Source organism: Homo sapiens, chromosome X (assembly GCF_000001405.40).
Source record: "Homo sapiens chromosome X, GRCh38.p14 Primary Assembly".
Classification (NCBI taxonomy): Eukaryota; Metazoa; Chordata; class Mammalia; order Primates; family Hominidae; genus Homo; species Homo sapiens.
This window is the reverse complement of record NC_000023.11, coordinates 41,602,639-41,619,298: the sequence shown is the minus strand read 5'-3', so window position 1 is coordinate 41,619,298 and position 16,660 is coordinate 41,602,639. Positions and strand designations below refer to the sequence as shown.

Here is a 16,660-nt window from a genome sequence, read left to right as displayed (position 1 = left end):
TTATAAACCTGATTTTTAGATACAAACTTTATTGCCAAATGAATTATGAAAACAAAATACTATTCTGAAGGCAGGGCATTATAGTATCTAATAAGTTCATGAATGTGGAAGTTTGGACCAAGGGCTAGGAAAAAACCTTATATGGTAAATCAAATTGAGATTAAAGAGAGAACAGAAATTAGGCATCACGCCTGTAATCCCAGCACTTTGGGAGGCCAAGGCGGGTGGATCACGAGGTCAGGAGTTTGAGACCATCCTGGCTAACACGGTGAAACCCCCTCTCTACTAAAAATACAAAAAAAAAATTAGCCAGGTGTGGTGGCGGGTGCCCGTAGTCCCAGCTACTCGGGAGGCTGAGGCAGGAGAATGGCATGAACCCAGGAGGCGGAGCTTGCAGTGAGCCGAGATCACACCACCGCCCTCCAGCCTGGGCGACAGAGTGAGACTCTGTCTCAAAAAAAAAAAAAAAAAAAGAAATTGGACATCACCTCATTACCAAATGCAAATCATTCTGATGCATTGCTGAGGATAAAACATGATTTTGTGGGTGGGGGACAGTCTATTATGGAAGGAACACTGAATTAGGAGTGAGACCTGGGTTCTAGGATTTGATCTTCTGCTTATTGCCTGTGGCCCTTGGAAAGGTTATTTAACCCTACTGAGCCTCTGGTTTTTCAAATATAAAAACACTTGCTGACCAAGCATGGTGGCTCAATGCCTATAATCCCAGCACTTTGGGAGGCTGAGGCGGGAGGATTGCTTGAGCCCAGGAATTTGAGAATAGCCTGGGCAACAGAGAGAGACCCCCAACTCTACAAAAAACTTTTTAAAAAATTAGCCAGGCATGGTAGCGTGCCTGTAGTCCCACCTGTTTGGAAGGCTGAGGTGGAAGGATTGCTCAAGCCCAGAAGGTCGAGGCTGCAGTGAGCCAGGATCACGCCACTACACTCCAGCCTAGGCAACAGAGCAAGATCCTGTCTCAAAACAAAAAAAACACTTGCCTGCAGAGACAGGGTTATTGTGGAATCACATAAGGTAGTAAGTATAAAAGCACTTTGGAAATTATAAGCTGTTAATACAAATATAAGTATTAAAATAATTTCAAATGTGGCTTTAAGGAAACAGTACTATAAAAGAAATTGTTTTCTGTGGTTAAGTCTTTCTCATACTTTGTTTTCAATTCTTCAGAATTTACTCAGAAAAAAATCATTTTAATCAGGCCATTTTATGAAGTGTCTTGGTACAAAGGACTCTGCAAAGTACACCCCAGAATACAGAGGTAAATAGGATACCTACAGTCCTGCCGTTAAATCAACTGCCCTCTGAGGTGAACTTGTGTACTTTTTATTGATTGATTTTGTTTTCAAGATAGTTACAAGTTTATTCAGAGGTTTTATAGGAAAAACAGCCTTTTTAGTCTTTGAGAAAAATAGTTATTTTATATGTGACAGTATTGATCTTCAAAATGAAAACTAGTAACATCTTAATTAGCATGTGCTGCATGTGTTATATTAATAATCACTACTGCCTCGGGGTTTAAAATCTAAAACAAATAGCAATGGAGAAGCCCGAGAAGTGTCTTTGTGTCTATTTATATCTTATAATGAATTGAAACACCATGGGATTTTTAGATGGTTGGTACTGAACTACAGATATCAATTATACACACATCTATCCAACCAAGAATGTGTTCTGTGGTTCTGTTTGTCATACCCAAAGAAAGAAATAACGGAACTAGAACAGGTGTTAATGGAAGGTGTTAAAATAATCAAGGGTGAAGACAGATTTTGAGGTTAAGCCAAAAATATGTATTTATTCCATTTGAAAAGATGAAGGAGAAATGGAATAAAAACTCTAATTTTTCTACCTAATTACAGAAACTTAAAAATAGGGGCACTTTTCAGAGCTTGAAATAGACAACTTGAGTACAACTAGGGAAGTGCTTCTTTTCATGATTGAGAACCCATCAAGTTAATCATATTTGGGTACAAGATAAGACTATAAATCAGTTCAGAAGAGGTGACAGATCCAAGGAGGTTTAATAGACCTGTTGGAATTGTGGCTCTTGCCTACTTTAAATGCCTGCTAACAGATGCCTTTGTGCTTTCCAGCAAAGTATCTGCTGGTCCTGTCAACACAGCTTTGATCCTGTGTGGGGGTGGTGAATTCCTGCTCATCCACCTCTCTGCGGCTCCCCAACTCCTCCCTAGGCAGCCTGTGTGTCAGTTTGTTTTTACCTCTTCTATACCGTTTACTTCAGGGTATAATATGCCTACTTCACACACCAGTCTGAGAGCCCCTTCCTCAGGGCCGGTGATCATATCTCTGATTTCTCTGAAGCCCTTGCCTAGTACCTAGCAAAAAGCAGGAATATTCAATAAAGATTTTGGGGCCAGGCGCTGTGGCTCACGCCAGTAATCCCAACACTTTGGGAGGCCTAGGCAGGCGGATCACTCGAGGTCAGGAGTTCAAGACCAGCCTGGCCAACATGGTGAAACCCCGTCTCTACTAAAAACACAAAAAATTAGCTGGGTGTGGTGGTGTGTGCCTGTAATCCCAGCTACTTGGAAGGCTGAAGCAGGAGAATTGCTTGAACCCAGGAGGCGGAGGTTGCAGTGAGCTGAAATCATGCCACTGTATGCCAGCCTGGGCAACTGAGTGAAACTCTGTCTCAGGAAAAAAAAAAAAAAAAGATTTTGGTTATTGTCTGACCCAATAGGGCATTGTTCAAGTTCTTTTCCAACCTCCATATTCATGCATAAACCACACAACTTCTTGTTGAAGGTTTCCTGTATGTTTCCTAGCATAGCCTATTAGTGTAGTAAGTTAGGCAAAACATAGACTTTGAAGCCAAACAAACCCAGGATTGAGTCCTGGCTCCACCATTTACTAGTTATGCCCTTCCATGAACCTTCTGAAGCTCAGTTCCCTATCTAGAAGGTGGGATAATATATCTGCCTTACTGTGTTGTCCTGAGGATGTTCCTGGAACATAATAAACACTCAAGAATTGGGAGCTGCTGTTAGTGTTTCCTTAAGTACTTAATTCAGTGCATACTTTGTAGATATTATAAAATGAATAAAATAAAGAGCTGCCTTAAGGACCTTACAGCTAAGGGAAAAAAAGAGTGAACAAGCACGCACATAAGTAACTCATGGAGTGCGCTGGTGGTACAGGAATGGCATGGAGCACTTGGGAAGTTCACAGACCAACAAATGATACATCCCTGGTCTGGTACAGCCAAAATTGCTTCCTGGTCTTGAGACTGACCATCTTAGTATTCACTTGATAAAAGGTTGTTTTTGCTTTAATCTTATATTATTAATAAACTGCTACATAAACTGTATATCAGCATGAGCAATGCTGGTAAAAGGCCGAGCACAGTGGCTCAGGCCTGTAGTCCCGGCACTTTGGGAGGCTGAGGCAGGCGGATCACTTGAGCCCAGGAGTTCGAGACCAGCCTGGCCGACATGGTGAAACCCCGTCTCTACTAAAAATACAAAAATTAGCTGGGCGTGGTAACCTGTAGTCCCAGCTGCTTGGGTGGCTGAGGCACGAGAATCGCTTGAACCCAGGAGGCAGAGGTTGCAGTGAGCTGAGATCATGCCGTTGTACTCCAGTCTGGGTGACAGAGTGAGACTCTGTCTCAAAAAAAAAGAAAAAAAAAACTCAGTAAGATTTCAGTAAGATAACTGAGTGAAGATGATAATTAGGTTTCTGTGGTATCAGCTGAATTTTTTAATATACAAAAAAGGCACTTGATTAGTATTTTTGTTATTGTGGTTTCATAAGTCCAGAAGTTTAGAACTGGCTTTAGTAACTTGATAAACCTAGCATCATTTAATTCTGTTGTTGATGACATGCTGGGGTCAGGGGTTCAGTGGGACATTTGGGACTAATTTCTTCACATCATCTCTTGCTTTCCAAGGCTTTCAGTAAAGGATGAAGAGAAAATTGGCTTTTAACTAATTTCCAGATTTTTTGATGGAGGGGGGGGCACTCTGAACAAAGTAAATCCTGAGAAGATCAGGTAGAAGGAAGTGGATTGGGTTAATACCTCTTTAGGAATAACAGAGGAGATGAGGACTGATTTCTGCCATTTATCTCTTTTATCCCACTTAATATCCACTTAATGTTTTCAGTGAAAGGATACCAATAGCCTGGCAGGCATAATTCAAAATTTAATATTATCCAGCCGGGCATGGTGGCTCACACCTGTAATCCCAGCACTTTGGGAGCTCAAGGCAGAAGGATCGCTTTAGCTCAGGAGTCCAAGACCAGCCTGGGCAACATGACAAAACCCCATCTCTATAAAAAATACAAAACTTAGATGGGTGTAGTGGTCCCAGCTACTCTGGGGGCTGAGGTGGGAGGATCACTTGAGCACAGGAGGTCGAGGTTGCAGTGAGCCGAGATTGTGCCACTGCACTCCAACCTGGGCAACAGAGCAAGACCCTGCCTCAGAAAAAAAAATTATCCAGGCCAGGCGCAGTGGCTCACGCCTGTAATCCCAGCACTTTGGGAGGCCAAGGCGGGCAGATCACGAGGTTAGGAGTTTGAGACCAACCTGACCAACATGGTGAAACCCCGTCTCTACTAAAAATACAAAATTAGCTGGGCGTGTTGGCACGCACCTGTAATCCCCGCTACTCAGGATGCTGAGGCAGGAGAATCGCTTGAACCTGGGAGGCAGAGGTTACAGTGAGCCAAGATCATGCCACTACACTCCAGCCTGGGCAACAGAACGAGACTCTATCTCAAAAAAAAAAAAAAAAATTATCCATAGTTCCTTCAACAGACGAATGGTCAAACAAACTGGTACATCCACACAACAACCTGGATGAAGCCCCAGATAATTATGCTAAGTGAAAAAATGCAGTCCCAAAAGGTTACATACTGTATGATTTCATTTATTCTTTTTATTTTATTTTATTTTATTTTTTAATTTTTAGAGGGACTCCTCCTTGCAGACCAGGGCTACCCCATAGGCAGTATGCCCAGAATAGGAGCCTCATTTATTATCAAAATGACAAAATTGTAGAAATGGAGAACAGATGAGTAGTTGCCACAGGTTAGGAGGGGATAGGGTAGGAGGGGAATGAGCATGGCTATAAAAAGGCAGTATGAGGGATCCTTGTGGTAATGGAATGTTTTATAGCTCGACTGTATCAATGTCAATATCCAGGTTGTGATATTGTACTACAGTTTTGCAAGATGTTACTATTGGAGGAAACTGGGTAAAGGGCACATGAGACCTTTATGTTATTTTCTTTTACAACTGCATGTGAATCTACAATTATCTCAAAATAAAAAGTCAAATTTTAAAAAATAGCTACAGTAATTTCCACGTGGACAGCCACACAGTATGTGGCTTAAGACCCAAATCTTTAACATAATTAAATAGAGCTACAAAAATCAGTAGCTTATATAGCATTTTGTTTTGTTTTGCTATTGTAGAAAAACTTGGAAAGTATGGATAAGAACAGAATGAAATAGAAATAGGACAGTAAAGATAACAACTGTAACACTTTTGCTGTGTTTCATTCTGTTTTTTGTTTTTCCGGAGTTTGCATATATGTTTTGTTTGGTTTTTTATCGTAACTGGGAATATACAGTTTATTTAGTTTTGCATTCTGCTTTCTTGAATTCTTTTTTTTTTTTTTTTTTTTAATTGATCATTCTTGGGTGTTTCTCGCAGAGGGGGATTTGGCAGGGTCACAGGACAATAGTGGAGGGAAGGTCAGCAGATAAACAAGTGAACAAAGGTCTCTGGTTTTCCTAGGCAGAGGACCCTGCGGCCTTCCGCAGTGTTTGTGTCCCTGGGTACTTGAGATTAGGGAGTGGTGATGACTCTTAACGAGCATGCTGCCTTCAAGCATCTGTTTAACAAAGCACATCTTGCACCGCCCTTAATCCATTTAACCCTGAGTGGACACAGCACATGTTTCAGAGAGCACAGGGTTGGGGGTAAGGTCACAGATCAAGAGGATCCCAAGGCAGAAGAATTTTTCTTAGTACAGAACAAAATGAAAAGTCTCCCATGTCTACTTCTTTCTACACAGACACGGCAACCATCCGATTTCTCAATCTTTTCCCCACCTTTCCCCCCTTTCCATTCCACAAAACCGCCATTGTCATCATGGCCTGTTCTCAATGAGCTGTTGGGTACACCTCCCAGACGGGGTGGTGGCCGGGCAGAGGGGCTCCTCACTTCCCAGTAGGGGCGGCCGGGCAGAGGCGCCCCTCACCTCCCAGACGGGGCAGCTGGCCAGGCGGGGGGCTGACCCCCCCACCTCCCTCCCGGACGGGGCGGCTGGCCAGGCAGAGGGGCTCCTCACTTCCCAGTAGGGGCGGCCAGGCAGAGGCGCCCCTCACCTCCCGGATGGGGCGGCTGGCCGGGCGGGGGGCTGACCCCCCCACCTCCCTCCCGGACGGGGCGGCTGGCCAGGCAGAGGGGCTCCTCACTTCCCAGTAGGGGCGGCCAGGCAGAGGCGCCCCTCAGCTTCCAGACGGGGCGGCTGGCCGGGCGGGGGGTTGACCCCCCCCCACCTCCCTCCCGGACGGGGTGGCTGGCCGGGCGGGGAGCTGACCCCCCCACCTCCCTCCCGGACGGGGCGGCTGGCCGGGCGGGGGTCTGACCCCCCCACCTCCCTCCCGGACGGGGCGGCTGGCCGGGCAGAGGGGCTCCTCACTTCCCAGTAGGGGCGGCTGGGCAGAGGCGCCCCTCACCTCCCGGACGGGGCGGCTGGCCGGGCGGGGGGCTGACCCCCACCTCCTTCCCGGACGGGGTGGCTGCCGGGCGGAGACGCTCCTCACTTCCCAGATGGGGTGGCTGCCGGGCGGAGGGGCTCCTCACTTCTCAGACGGGGCGGCTGCCGGGCGGAGGGGCTCCTCACTTCTCAGACGGGGCGGTTGCCGGGCGGAGGGTCTCCTCACTTCTCAGACGGGGCGGCTGGGCAGAGACGCTCCTCACCTCCCAGACGGGGCGGCGGGGCAGAGGCGCTCCCCACATCTCAGACGATGGGCGGCCAGGCAGAGACGCTCCTCACTTCCTAGATGGGATGGCGGCGGGGCAGAGATGCTCCTCACTTTCCAGACTGGGCAAGCCAGGCAGAGGGGCTCCTCACGTCCCAGACGATGGGCAGCCAGGCAGAGACGCTCCTCACTTCCCAGACGGGGTGGCGGCCGGGCAGAGGCTGCACTCTCGGCACTTTGGGAGGCCAAGGCAGGCGGCTGGGAGGTGGAGGTTGTAGCGAGCCGAGATCACGCCACTGCACTCCAGCCTGGGCACCATTGAGCACTGAGTGAACCAGACTCCATCTGCAATCCCGGCACCTCGGGAGGCCGAGGCTGGCGGATCACTCGCGGTTAGGAGCTGGAGACCAGCCCGGCCAACACAGCGAAACCCCGTCTCCACCAAAAAAATACGAAAACCAGTCAGGCGTGGCGGCGCGCGCCTGCAATCGCAGGCACTCGGCAGGCTAAGGCAGGAGAATCAGGCAGGGAGGTTGCAGTGAGCCGAGTTGGCAGCAGTACAGTCCAGCTTCGGCTCGGCATCAGAGGGAGACCGTGGAAAGAGAGGGAGAGGGAGACCGTGGGGAGAGGGAGAGGGAGAGAGAGAGGGAGAGGGAGAGAGAGAGGGAGAGGGAGAGAGAGAGGGAGAGGGAGAGAGAGAGGGAGAGGGAGAGGGAGAGGGAGAGCTGCTTTCTTGAATTCTATATCATGAAGATTTCTCTGTGTCTTTGAAATTCTTCAAAAACAATTTTCATTTGGCTACATATTCCATTATATGGATATTCTATAACCTACGTAATCATCCTCTATTAGATTTATTTTCCATTTTGTATGATAATATCATTATATATAAATCTTCCATTTTTTTCCTTAAGGTGGGTTTTTGTAAATGGAATTACTAAATCGAAGTGCATGAACATTTTTAAGGCTTTTTGATATATGTTACCAGATTGCTTTCTGGAAAAGTGGTACTGATATATATTCTCACCAATAATTGCATGAGAATGGATAAGGTCTAAGTCAGGAAGAATTAGAAACAGAGTTCTGGAGCATAAAGATTTTTATCTTTATCAAAAATATAATTTCTCAACCACAGCACTACTGACATTTTGGGCCAGATAATTCTTTGTTGTGGGGGCTGTCCTGGGTATTGTAGGATGTTTAGCAGCATCCCTGACCTCTACCCACTAGATAGCAATAGCTGCCCTCCCGCTGTAGTTGTAACAACCAAAAATATCTCTAAACATTGGGAAATGTCCACCTGGGTAACAAAATTGCCCCTGGTTGAGAACCACTGATCCAAAGACTTAAATGTGCAATGAGACACTTATTCTTAGAGTTTCTCTACTGTGTACTAATGTTCTGAAGCTTAGCTCCTTGGAGCTCTTTTTTTGTGGAGTATATATGTGTATTCTGCATATTGCCTGCAATGTAAAAGAGGCTGATCTTTTTTTTAAGGCTGTGTAAATGGCTTTGTTACTCCTCATTGTGTATCTTTCCCTACTGACATCTGCCTGGTTTCCTGGTTATGAGAAGAAACTTAAAGTGATGGCACTTCCATTTGCTTTGCCCTACAAAAATGATTTGCCTTGAAATTTAATATGGTATTTGGAAGTGTCAGTCAGCGTCCCTATACTTTGTCTTTATCTTCTGAGTAAGAAGGGTAAGAGTAAAACAGAATGAGAATGACTTTGGATCTCTTGAGTCTGTATGTAAAGGAAAAAAAAAGGAGTGGACTGGGATTTTTGTTAACTAAAGTTCAAGTCTTAAAAACTAAGAAGCCTATTTTAAGCAGCAGGAGTTCCCAGTTGAAGGTCTGTTCCCTGTATCTACAGCTGGCTTTACCTTCAGTTCTTGATGGAATGCACCTGGGTAAAAGGCCAACCTCGTTTCTATAATATTTCAGAACATCTTGGAGTCCTGAAACCCATACTCTCTTCCTGACATAAAACTTGCTGTGTCCAGATCTTCTAGTGCTTAGGTTATACTTGATAAATTTCATTAATTCAAAGAAGATAAGCTGCAGTTTCCTCTGAAAAATGAAGAGCACACAAATACATTAATAAGAACATGAACTCTCTGAAAATACTGTGTCCTTAAATTATATGAAACTCATTTAAGTCTATCCTTCAGTAAAGACACTAGCCTTTGAAGTTCTGATATGAATTCATTGTTCTTAAGTGTAAGATTTAGGTTTAAAAAGTTAGTTTGACATTGACTTTCTATACTGGCTGTTTCTTTTCTGTTTGTCCCCCTTAGGAGCAGTCTCACAGGTGCTGGACAGCCTGGAAGAGATTCATGCGCTTACAGACTGCAGTGAAAAGGACCTAGATTTTCTACACAGTGTTTTCCAGGATCAGCATCTTCACACACTACTAGATGTAAGTCTGTCTTTTTATTATTCTTCTTTTTTGGTGAATTGAATATTGGCCGGGCACGGTGGCTCATGCCTGTAGTCCAAGCACTTTGGGAGGCAGAGGCGGGCGTATCAGGAGGTCAGGAGACTGAGACCATCCTGGCCAACATGGTGAAACGTGGTCTCTACTAAAAATACAAAAATTAGCCAGGTGTGGTGGCGCATGCCTGTAGTCCCAGTTAGGACTGAGCTGAGGAGGCGGAGGCACAAGAATCACTTGAACCCGGGAGGCGGAGGCTGCACTGAGCCAAGATCACACCACTGCACTCCAGCCTGGGTGACAAAGCAAGACTCTGTCTCAAAAAAAAAAAAAAAGAAATTGAATATTTAGCATACCTTTTTACTTTACATGAATTCTCAGATGTCTATCATAACAATTCTTTTCAGTTGCCTTAAGCCTATGAGAAATGTGGGAAATCATCCATCAAAAATTCATGATTGAAATACAGTATATGGCCGGGCACCGTGGCTCATGCCTGTAATCCCAGCACTTTGGGAGGCCAAGGCGGGTGGATCACCTGAGGTCAGGAGTTCGAGACCAGCCTGACCAACATGGGGAAACCCCATCTCTACTAAAAATACAAAATTAGCCAGTTGTGGTGGTGCATGCCTGTAATCCTGGCTACTCGGGAGGCTGAGGCAGGAGAATCGCTTGAACCCAGGAGGCAGAGGTTGCAGTGAGCCGAGATCGCTCCATTGCACTCCAGCCTGGGCAACAAGAGCGAAACTCCATCTCAAAAACAAAGAAAAAAGAAATACAGTATATGTACAGTACAAATGCAACAGAGCCTAGCAGGCTACAATGGGAAAAAATTTATATATCTTTATATTTATAAATTATATGTACATAATGCATGCAAGTGGTATGTGAGTTTTAAAAAAGAGTAGAGTACAATCCTACTTTACTGAATTATCTTGTATTTCTGTTAAAAGAATCCATTGAGGTTAGCTGTGATTACTTTTTATTGCTTTGCACATTACTTTAAAACATTATACCTCCAGCATGAGTATAGGAGAGAGAAAAGCAAATGAGATACTTTGCAATAGGCTGTATTCCCACACACATTTCATATTTAACATTGTTTTGTTCCATAGATTCAATGTCTTCTCCTTAAAACATAAGCATATACTCCATCTTTAAATATTACAGGCTCCACTGACAGCAGACTGGGATACAAAGGAAAAAACAGAAGCTGACCATTTTCATTTCAGTCACATTTTAAGTAAAATACCTTTCTTAGAGAACTTGGTTCACTTCAGCAATGAAAACTCTTGGGTGGTTTCGATGGTATTTGAACATGTTAGTCTTTTTACAAGAAAAATCTTCCCTTAATGAGAGAATCATACTTGCTTTGGGGTGCCTAGAACTGTTTGGTGCTGAATAATTCACCATATGATGTAAATGAAGCTAAAGCAAAATTTCCCAGAATGTGTTCTACAGAGCATGGCTCTGGGAGGTTGCTATGGGTGTTGCCATGGTGGGAGGGGGAAGTAGATCTTAAATTTATTGGTTAAATTATTTATTGACTAAATAAGTTTGGGAAATGCTACATTCTTTAGTCTTTTTATACAGATCCACAATGGGTGTTGGTATATTGATAGCTCTGAGATGATCTAAAGCAAAGAAACCTTTTTAACTTTCTTTATCAGCATTTCTCAAACTAATTTGGGCACAGAACTTTTATTCACAATCCTGTTGAGTTCTGTTTTGATGAGGACCAGTTTGGGAAAAGCTCAGCTAAGAGTGTTTGTTGCATTATGCTTCAGCTTTACACTAAATGCAGCCGTAGGTATCTAACAGTTGCTTCTTTCCCCAAATGTGGTCAGTTCAAATTAATTATCAGATTTTCATGGCTAGTTTGGCCTTTGTATATAGTGTACATATTAATTAGGGCTGACTAACTGTTATAACATGTGATTCTAAAATTTGAGTGGCTTAACAGAATAGAAGTTTACTTCTTGCTCACTTCACAGTCCAATGCAGGTAGATGAGGGAGGTCTTTTCCACACCGTCATTCAGAGACCCAGGCCTCTTCCACTAGGTCACACTGCTATTTCCCAGGGTCTTGGAATCTTCTACTGTATCCTTTGTACCTAGCCAGCAAATGAGAGAAGAGAGAACATGGAGAATCTTGCAGGGTCAAGCTTGGAAATGGGTTTATCTCACATTCTTTGGCAACTGCTAGTCACGTGCTCACCTGGATGTGAGAGCTGAGGAACGTAGTTTAGAAATGTGCTCAGGAAGATAAGGAATTGGGTCTTCTCTTTAGTGTAATTTATCTTAAGTAGTATCTATTCACTGTCATTGCTGCAGAAAGTTTTCACAATTGTGTATTTCCCACTGAAGTTTATACCCTTTACTAGAACTAGTTAGTGCAATATTTAGAAAAGGCTACAGCAGTGTGTGGAGATTTTGTTTATTTTATTGTGGTCAGTGCTTAGGTCATTGCCAGGTAGATTTACTGACCTTCTTTTGAATCAAGGACTTTTTGTAACAAAGACTTTTTGTAATTTAAACACTGAGAGAAGCCCAAATTGGTTTCAAAGTTGTATTTTTTCTTACTGATATAGCAAGGTATCTGAGCACATCAAGCTTGAGATTGCAGGGGAGAAGCAGGAACATTACTGGCTTACACAAGGAAAGGGGCAGCTATTCAGACACGAATAACTGCTGCACTGTTTGGTATAAATTGTCACAATTTCAGAAGAGATTCTTAGATGTTAGTGAGAAAAACATACTTAACTTTCCTTTGCATTTGTTTACATTATAAAGAAGTATCTGCCTTATTGGCATCTGCCCTGTCAGTGCAGGTCAATTTGAAAGAGGAGCTGTTGGACTGAAAATGAACCATGCCTATTAAAAAGGTGCAGTATAAGACCAGGAGTAGTGGCTCACACCTGTAATCCCAGCACTTTGGGAGGTCATTGTGGGAGGATCACTTGAGCCCAGGAGCTCAAGACCAGCCTGGGCAACAAAGCAAGACCCCATCTCTACAAAAAATTTAAAAAGCAGCTGGGCATGGTGGTGTATGCCTGTGGTCCCAGCTACTCCAGAGGCTGAGGCTGAAGGATCACCTGAGCCCAGGAATTCAAGGGTGCAGTGAGCCATGATCACACTACTGCACTCCAACCTGGGCAACAAAGTGAGACTCTATCTCTAAAAAAAAAAAAAAGGTGCAGTATCTTCTGAATTTTGTAAACAGGTGCCATACATGAGCTCCAGTCAAATTAATGACTATGAGGCCGAGCCCTGGACAATATTTGCATGCATGTGGTTCTGAATCTCCAAACTGAGCTATTTCTAAATGAAAGTTTAGGCCAGGTACGGTGACTCACGCCTGTAATCCCAGCACTTTGGGAGGCCAAGGCGGGCGGATTACCTGAGGTCAGGAGTTCGAGACCAGCCTGACCAACATGGTGAAACCCATCTCTACTAAAAATACAAAAATGTGGTGGGCACCCATAATCCCAGGTACTTAGGAGGCTGAGGCAGGAGAATCACTTGAACCCAGGAGGTGGAGATTGCAGTGAGCCGAGATCGTGCCACTGCACTCTAGCCTGGTCAACAGAGCGAGACTCCGTCTCAAAAATGAATGAATGAATGAATGAATGAATGAATGAATGAAAGCTTAATCATCATGAATGAAATAAACCATCATTAGAATGTGCCCTCATACCCTACATCCCATAAATAAGGCTTATTAAGCTCATTTCACAGCTAACAGGCTACATTTTAATAATATAATCAATGAAGAATTCAAGTGACTGCCATATAGAGAAATCTAATCATTTAAAAAATTTTAATATTTAAATGTTTGTGGTATACATTAAGGAAGAAAAATGGCTATGACGAACTCTTGAGGAGCAGCTGTTAAAATGTTGGATTTTCAGTCTGGGTGCAGTGGCTCACTTCTATAATCTCAGCACTTTGGGAGGCCGAGGCGGGAGGATCACTTGAGGTCAGGTGTTTGAGACCAGCCTGGCCAACATGGTAAAACCCTGTCTTTACTAAAAATACAAAAATTAGCTAGGCATGGTGGCGCATGCCTGTAGTCCCAGCTACTTGGGAGGCTGAGGCAGGAGGATCACTTGAACGCAGGAGGTGGACGTAGCAGTGAGCTAAGATCACACCACTGCACGGTAGCCTGGGAGACAGAGCAAAACTCTGTCAAAAAAAATTGGGCCTTTCATTTTTCTTTCTTCCCATGTTCCACATACCATGGTTGATTTGGAATTGTTTTATTTTGCAGAATCAAAACGAATTCTTCTGCCTTTTTTTGTTTGTTGTTTGTTTTTTGTTTAAGACAGGGCTCTCCCAGGCTGGCTCACTGTAGCCTTGACCTTCTGAGCTCAAGCACCCTCCTACCTCAACCACCCAAGTATCTGGACCACAGGTGCACCACCACACTCAGCCCTTTTTTTTTTTTGAAGAGACAGGTCTCACCATGTTTGCCCAGGCTACCAGGCTAGTCTCAAACTCTTGGGCTCAAGCAGTTCTCCTGCCTCGGCCTCCCAAAGTGCTGAGATTACAGGCATGAGTCATTGCCCCAGCATGAATTCCTTTTTAAGGATTCCAAGTAGGGACACCCAGGGGGCATAGTTTTATGGACCATGAATTAATTAAGGCTAATTAATCCCACTGAGCCATTTTAGGAAATATCTTTACCATTTTTATGTTATTTCTGTTAACTCAATAACATTCTAAATAGCTAGGTATGAAGCCATAATTTTAAGGCTGACAAAAAGAAACAGGATTAAGTTCCTAAGAAAAACTAAAGATTATCTATGACTTCTTTATTTTTTCTAGTCATGTTCTTAAAATAATAACAAGCTCAAAATTTGAAGAAGCATTATTAGAATTTGTTTACAGGAAACAAAACTGCCAAACTGAAACATTTACATTAAAATGGAGAAGTACTGTGATTCTACTGAAAGGGAAATGCTTTCTGAAAACCTTTGAATTTGAGTAAAACACATTTAGTTTAATCTGTAGTTAGAAACTGATACAGAAAACTCTAAATATTTGCTATCCAAGTGGTTCCAGCCTGGCACACATATGCAGCTTCTCATTTTGTGGGAAGAAATACAGAGGCATGAGGAACTGCTTGGTCCAGCTTGTTGCAGTATGCCTGTATTTAAAAATTAAAAGCACTGGTGCTAAGATGATCTTCGTATGAAATGTATAGATCAATTAGTAAAGTACAATTTGACATTAGTTTGCTAGGACTGCCATAACAAAGTACCACAAGTTGTGTGGCTTAAAACAACAGAAATTGATTGTCTCATAGTTCTGGAGGCTGGAAAGTCCTAAATCAAGGCATTGGCAGGGGCATGCTCCCTCCAAAGGATCCAGGGAAGAATCCTTCCTTGTCTTTTCCAGTTTCTGGTGGTTGCCTGCAATCCTTGTCATTCCTTGACTTGTAGATGCATCATTCCAGTCTCTTTTTCCGTCATCACATGTCATTCTCTGTGCGTGTGTGTCTGTGTATTTACATGGCCTTCTTAGAAGGACACCAGTCATTGGACACCCTAATCTAGTATGACATCATCTTAATTAATTACATCTATAAAGACACTTATTTCCAAATAAGGTCACATTCTGAGGTTCTGGGTAAACATAAATTTTGAGTGAGGGACAATATTCACCCCAGTACAGCATGGAAAACTGATTTAACCCTGAATTAATTCTTCACGTGTGAGTGCAAATTACACAAATCTAATATAAAATAATGAAATGTTACCCTGTCATCCATTAATTATGCTTTATTGGGAATTGGTGTTAAAGTGTTATTTATGTCTTGTAATGATATTTTGAATCAGTTATGGATTGGAATTTGTATGTGATACATTGGAAGGTCAGTGGGTGGGTGAGTTTTTGATGGACTGAAAAGCCATGTTTTTTGGATTAAAAACATTTTACAAATATTATTTGGTAGTAGTTTTCAGTCTTCTCAGTTTCTAGTATAAATTTTCCTATTAAAATAATAAATGTTTAGTTTGTAAATCACCAGTGTTACAAAACATTGTTAAATGACACATCTCTCTGCCAAACTTTGACAACTAAGTTTTAAACATTAACTGGCCATCTGTCATACCTCTGAACAGCTGTTAGCATTTGTTACGCACTGCTGTTTCCATAGTAAATGCCCCCACCTAATTAAGATTATTTTTGTAAGAAGTCTTAAAATTGTGGTTTCTGAAAATATAATGGGTGATTAGATTAATATAGCAATTTATTGATGAATTTTTAAAATTGCAGTAGCAATTAATTTAGGAGTCTTTATAATATTAATTTATAAGTAGACTTTTATAATAGACTTAGTAACTTTTAAATATTGCATTAGCAATTAACTGATACTTGGAATCTTTCATATTTTGTATGGCCAACATCTTTATTATAATTTTTTACCGTTTAGGGAGAGTTAGCATTTTTCCATCTGGCCTGGAGTTAGCCATGGAAAACTACAATTCTTGATTTACTATTTCGCTTTTTTGAGATGACATTAAATTAGTAGCCATATTTAGAAGAGCTTATTTTTAGAACTCAGAAGTTTCCTAAAGGAAAAAGATGGAACTTCTACAATAATCTGGAGATAATGTTTTTGAGCAATTTGGGGTCTGAGAAGTAAGTTAAATACAATGTTAGGTTTGGATATTTAAAGAGATTGCCAATCAGGAAATGCCAAAGCTAAGTTTCCCAAGAATTTGTAGTCCAGCCAATTTGCATTTAAATGTCTAGAATAATAAAGCCTATCTGAGGACCTTCAGAGGATGAGCTACTAGTAATTTCTCAGGGCCCCATCCAGTCTTAAGAGTCAGCTTTGGCAATTATGAAACCAGCTGCACAGTGGGCCCCTGCCCAGTGGTGGTGGTCTTTGTGCTTCTTGCCTCCTGGGGCTGTAGACTGAAGCGCATTGCTGTTCCCTTTGAATTTGAGTGTCTCTCCACTGTTTTCTAACTGGAGGGGCAAAACCTCCCATATCTGTTTCTCTCCATGTATTGAAGTAGTATTGTCAGTGTAAAAGTACGGCATGAAACAAAATACCTGAAAGCTAGAAATACCATATGTCGTGAATATTCTCAAAGTATTTTTCCTTCTTTCTTAATGTAAATAAATGTCAATAAACTTAGCAAAAAAAAAAAAAAAAAGCCGCTAAGCATATGGTTCTTTGTTAAGCAGCAATAGAAAACTGATAGAACCAGGAACAAGATGAGGATTGTCCACTCCCC

General features: G+C 42.7%; 1 protein-coding gene across 12 annotated transcripts in view, besides 1 other annotated feature; it reads left to right on the top strand.

Moving 5' to 3' along the window:
• The window catches only part of CASK (calcium/calmodulin dependent serine protein kinase), a 408,621-nt gene that overhangs the window by 304,256 nt on the left and 87,705 nt on the right, over positions 1-16,660 (top strand). For all 12 annotated transcript variants that reach the window (NM_001126055.3, NM_001410745.1, NM_001126054.3 and 9 more), the window contains one exon: positions 9,274-9,395. In NM_001126055.3, coding sequence (NP_001119527.1) covers positions 9,274-9,395 — 122 coding nt within the window. The remainder of the gene's footprint in view (positions 1-9,273; positions 9,396-16,660) is intronic.
• Positions 13,778-14,279: an enhancer, noted in NCBI's record as "NANOG hESC enhancer chrX:41464273-41464774 (GRCh37/hg19 assembly coordinates)". NCBI's record gives its function as "activates a minimal SCP1, AML or CMV promoter by ChIP-STARR-seq in primed H9 embryonic stem cells {active_cell/tissue: H9 hESC(primed)}" and the evidence as "EXISTENCE:reporter gene assay evidence [ECO:0000049][PMID:30033119]".